The following is a 6,000-nucleotide window of genomic DNA, read 5'->3' on the forward strand; positions in this document are numbered from 1 at the left end:
AAGTCATACAGGAAATATCAGAATCCTAAATATATATGCACTTAACATGGGAGCTCCCAAATTTATAAAACAATTATTACTAGACATAAGAAATGAGAAGGATGACAACACAACAATAGGGGGTACTTCAATACTCCACTGACAGCGCTAGACAGGTCATCAATACAGAAAGTCAGCAAAGAAAGAATGGACTTAAACTATACCCTAGAACAAATGAATGTAACAGGTATTTACAGAATATTCTACCCAACAACTGCAGAATATACATTCTTTTCATCAGTACGTGGCACATTCTCCAAAATAGACCACATGATAGGACACAAAACAAGTCTCAATAAATTTAAGTGAATCAAAATTATATCAAGTACTCTCTCAGACCACAGTGAAATAAAATTAAAAATTAACTCCAAAAGGAACCTCAAGACTATACAAATACATGGAAATTAAATAATCTGCTCCTGAATGATCTTTGGGTCAATAATAAAATTAAGATAGTAATTTAAAAATTATTTGAACTGAACCATAATAGTGACATAACTTACCAAAACCCCTGAGACACAGAAAAAGCAGTGCTAAGAGAAAAGTTCATAGCATTAAATGTTTACATGAAAAAGTCTGAAAGAATACAAATAGAAAATCTAAGGTCACACCTCAAGGAACTAGAGAAACAGGAACAAACCAAACCCAAACCCAGCAGAAGAAAAGAAATAACAAAGCTCAGAGCAGAACTAAATGAAATTGAAACAAACAAAAATTAAAGACAAATGAAACAAAAAGTTGGTCCTTCGAAAAGATAAACAAAATTGATAGACCATTAGCAAGATTAACCAAGAAAAGAAGAGAGAAGATCCAAATAAGCTCAATTAGAAATGGAACAGGATATATTACAACTGATACTGCAGAAATATAAAAGATCATTCAAGGCTACTATGAACACCTTTACGTACACAAACTAGAAAATATAGAGGAGATAGATAAATTCCTGGAAATACTCAACCTTCCTAGATTAAATCAGGAAGAAATAGAAACTCTGAACAGACCAATAACAAGCAGCAAGATTAAAATGGTAATTTAAAAAATTGCTAACAAAAAACGTCCAAGGCCAGATGGATTCACGGCTGAATTACATTAGACATTCAAAGAATTGGTATCAATCTTACTGAAACTATTCCAAAAGATAAAGAAAGAGGGAATCCTTCCTAAATCATTCTATGAAGCCAATATCACCCCAATATCAAAACCAGGAAAGAACATAACAAAAAAAGAAAAGGAAAGAAAACTACAGACCAATATCCCAGTTGAACATAGATGCAAAAATCCTCAACAAAATACTAGTTGACCAAATCCAGCAGCATATCAAAAAGATAACACACCATTATCAAGTGGGTTCATACCAGGGATAGAAAGATGACTTAACATCCAGAAGTCAATAAATGTGACACATCACATAAACAGAATTAAAAACAAAAATCATATGATCATCTCAATAGATGCAGAAAAAGCATTTGACAAAATCTAGCATCCCTTTATCATTAAAACCCTCAGCACATTCGGCATAGAAGAGACATACCTCAAGGTAATAAAAGGCTTCTATGACAAACCCACAGGCAACATTATACTGAATGGAGAAAATTTCCATTCCTCCTGAGAACTGGAACAAGATAAGGATGCCCGCTTTCACCACTTCTATTCAACATAGTACTGGAAGTCCTACCCAGAGCAATCAGACAAGAGAAAGAAATAAAGGGCATCCAAATTGGTAAAGAGAAAGTAAAACTGTTACTGTTCACCAATTATATGATTATATACCTAGAAAACCCTAAAGACTCATCCAAAAAGCTCCTAGATCTGATAAATGAATTTAGTAAAGTTTCAGGATACAAAATCAATGTACACAAATCAGTAGCATTGCTATACACCAACAGTGACAAAGCTAAGAATCAAATCAAGAACTCAGCCCCTCTTACAACAGCTGCAAAAAATAAAATAAGATACTTAGGCATATACCTAACCAAGGAGGTGAAAGATCTCTACAAGGAAAACTACAAAACACTGCTGAAAAAAATCACAGATGACACAAACAAATGGAAACACATCCCATACTCATGGATGGGTACAATCAATATTTTGAAAACGATCATACTGCCAAAAGCAATCTATAAATTCAATGCAATTCCCATCAAAATACCACCATCATTTTTCATAGAGCTAGAAAAAAAATCCTAAAATTCATATGGAACCAAAAAAAAGCTCACATAGAAAAAGCAAGACTAAGCAAAAATAACAAATCCGAAGGCATCACATTACCTGACTTCAAACTATACTACAAGGCTATAGTTACCAAAACAGCATGGTAGTGGTATAAAAAATAGGTACATAGACCAATGGAACAGCATAGAGAACCCAGAAATAAAGCCAAATACGTACAGCCAACTGATCTGTGACAAAGCAAACAAAAACATAAACTGGGGAAAGGACACACTACTCAGCAAATGATGCTGAGAAAATTGGCAAGCAAGCCACATGTAGAAGAATGAAGCTGGATCCTCATCTCTCATCAACTCAAAATGGATCAAAGACTTAAATCTAAGACCTGAAATCATAAAAATTCTAGAGGATGGCTGGATGCAGCAGCTCATGCCTGTAATCCCAGCACTTTGGGAGGCTGAGGTGGGTGGATCACAACATCAGGAGATAGAGACCATCCTGGCTAACACCCCCCTCTCTACTAAAACACAAAAAATTAGCCGGGCGTGGTGGCAGACGCCTGTAGTCCCAGCTACTCTGGAGGCTGAGGCAGGAGAATGGCATGAACCTGGGAGGCGGAGCTTGCAGTGAGCCGAGATCGCGCCACTGCACTCTAGCCTGGGCAACAGAGCAAGACACTATCTCAAAAAAAAAAAATTCTACAGGATAACATCAGAAAAACTCTTATAGATACTGGCTTATGCAAATACTTTATGACCAAGAACCCAAAAGCAAATGCAACAAAAACAAAGATAAATAGATGGGACCTAACTAAACTAAAAAGTTTCTGCACAGCAAAAGAAATAATCAGCAAAGTAAACAGACGATGACAACCCACAGAGTTGGAGAAAATATTTGCAAACTATGCATTCCACAAAACACTAATATCCAGAATCTACAAGGAACTCAAAGAAACCAGCAAGAGGAAAAAAAATAATCCCATCAAAAAGGGTGCAAAGGACATGAATAGACAATTCTCAAAAGAAGATATACAAATGGGCAAGAAACATATGAGGAACCACTAAACATCACTAATTATCAGGGAAATGAAAATCCAAACCACAATGAAATACCACCTAACTCCTGCAAGAATGACCATAATTAAAAAGCAGAAAAATAACAGATGGTAGTATGGATGTGATGAAAATGGAACACTTTTATACTGCTGGTGGGAATGTAAACTAGTACAACCACTATGGAAAACAGTATGGACCTTCCTTAAAGAACTAAAAGTAGAACTACTATTTGATGCAGCAATCCCACTACTGGGTATCTACCCAGAGGAAAAGAAGTCATTATATGAAAAAGACACTTGTATATATGTTTATAGCAGCACAACTCACAATTCACAATTGCAAAAATATGGAACCAGCCTAAATGCCCATCAACCAATGAGTGGATAAAGGAAATATGATATAGCTATATATATCTATACCTATATCTATATCTATATCTATACACACCATGGAATACTACTCAGCCATAAAAAGGAATGGAATAATGGCATTAGCAGCAAGCTGGATGGAGTTGGAGACCATTATTCTAAGTGATGTAACTCAAGAATGAAAAACCAAACATTATACGTTCTCACTTATAAGTGGGAGCTAAGCTATGAAGATGCAAAGGCATAAGAATGATATAGTGGACTTTGGGGACTAAGGGGGAAGGCTGGGAGGAGGGTGATGGATAAAAGACTACACATTGGGTACAGTGTACACTGCTCAAGTGGTGGGTGCACCAAAATCTGAGAAATCACCATTAAAGCACTTATCCATGTAATGAAACACTACCTGTTCCTCCAAAACTAATGAAATAAAATTTAAAATTATATATATTTTTATTGAGAGCCGAATGTCTACTAAGCACTATGCTAAATGTTCAGTGAGGAGAAGTGAATGGACGGACCCTTATGGAGATACAAACATTAAACCATTAATTACATACTTGTGTACTCTGATCACTATTTTTTAAAGACACAGACAAGGTACTATAAGAGCAAATAATATAGGCGCTCAGCCTAATCTGAAAAAATCGGAAAGGCTTCCCTGCAAAAGCACAATTAAAGATGATGCCTTATGGAGGAGTAGGTGTTAAGTCAAATGAAGAGAAGAGGGGAAAGTAAGAAAACCAAACAAGATGTATGAAGTCCCTGGACTGAGAAAAGGTTTCAGAGTGTGTGAGAACACAAAAGTCAGAGTGGTAGGAGTGTATAACACTGGCACAGGGGGTGGGAGTTCAGCAGGATATTAGGCCGACAGAGTAGTCAGGCGCAGAGCCCTCAAGGTCTTTTAGGACATATTTAAAAATGTAACTCTTATAAACTAAAAGCAATGAGAAACCAAATAAAGGGATTTATGCCAGGGAGTGATATTATCAGATTTGCACTTTAAAAAGACCTCTTTGGCTGCTAGGCAGATGATGAATTATAGGAGAGCAAAGTGGAAGGTAAGAGACAATAAGAGAGCAATTGTAATAATTTAGGCTAGGTTATTGGTTAGGACCAAAACAAAGTAGTGGAAAGAGAGTGAAATATAATCAAAATATATTTTGGGAGTAGAATCAATGGGACTTGGCTGTACATTCAATGTGAGAGATAAGCGGCTGATGTCAGGATAATTCATAAGTTTCTAACATGAAAAACTGAGCAATTAAGACCCCATTTACTAAATGGGAAAGACTGGTGGAGGAAAAAATGTGAAAGGGACAATCAAGAGTTCAACTGAAAAGACAACAAATTTGAGCTGACTATGAGACACCAGAGTCTCATAAAAAGTCAAATTAAAAGTTGGATATTGGCTGTGCATGGTGGCTCATGCCTGTAATCCCAGCACTTTGGGAGGCCAAGGCAGGCGGATCACCTGAGGTCAGGAGTTCGAGACCAGCCTGGCCAACATGGCGAAACCCTGTCTTTACTAAAAATACAAAAAAAAAAAAAAAAAAAAAATTAGCTGGGCGTGGTGGTGTGTGCCTGTAATCCTAGCTGTTCAGGAGGCTGAGGCAGGAGAATTGCTTGAACCCGGGAGGCAGAGGTTGCAGCGAGCTGAGATCACGCCACTGCACCCCAGCCTGGGTGACAAGAGCAAGACTCCATCTGAAAAACAAAACAAAAAAAAACAGTTGGATATGCAGAGAAATTTGGTCCTCAGAAAAGGACCTAGGTAGGAGATTAGATTTTGAAGTCATTAACAAATTTATGGTATCTAATGTCTTTCCTAATTAGCAATATATTTTAGGAAGGGTATGTAGAATAAGCAAAGAGATACAGTGGGAACTCAAACAGATATCAAAAAGACACGAAGTCTAGGCAAAAATATTATTCAAAAGGAATGGTCATATTGGTAAGAGCAAAACCAGAATAATGTAGTGTCAAGGAAACCCAAAAAAGGAGAATGTTTCAAAGACAGAAAATTATCCATGTGAATGAGAGTTAATAATAATGACTGAAAATGATCCCCTGGAATTAACAATGTACAATCCGCAATGATCTCAATGAGAGAAGTTTAGGTAAGAGGTGGCAGTGGGGGAGAAGCAAAAGTTAAATGAGAATAGTATAAGAGTGGCAAGAGATGAAGTGCTGAAGACAGTATATGTACACCTTTTTGAGAATCTTGGCTGTAAAGAGCATTACAGAAAAAAATAGGTGAGTTCAAGGAAAGGTGTGTTCATTTAATTGCTTATTTGTTTTTTGTTTTAGAGAAGGAGAAATTCAAAAGCATGTCTGAATGCTGAACATGATCCAGTACCTAGCAGAGG

Source organism: Homo sapiens, chromosome 14, assembly GCF_000001405.40.
Source record: "Homo sapiens chromosome 14, GRCh38.p14 Primary Assembly".
Lineage (NCBI taxonomy): Eukaryota > Metazoa > Chordata > Mammalia > Primates > Hominidae > Homo > Homo sapiens.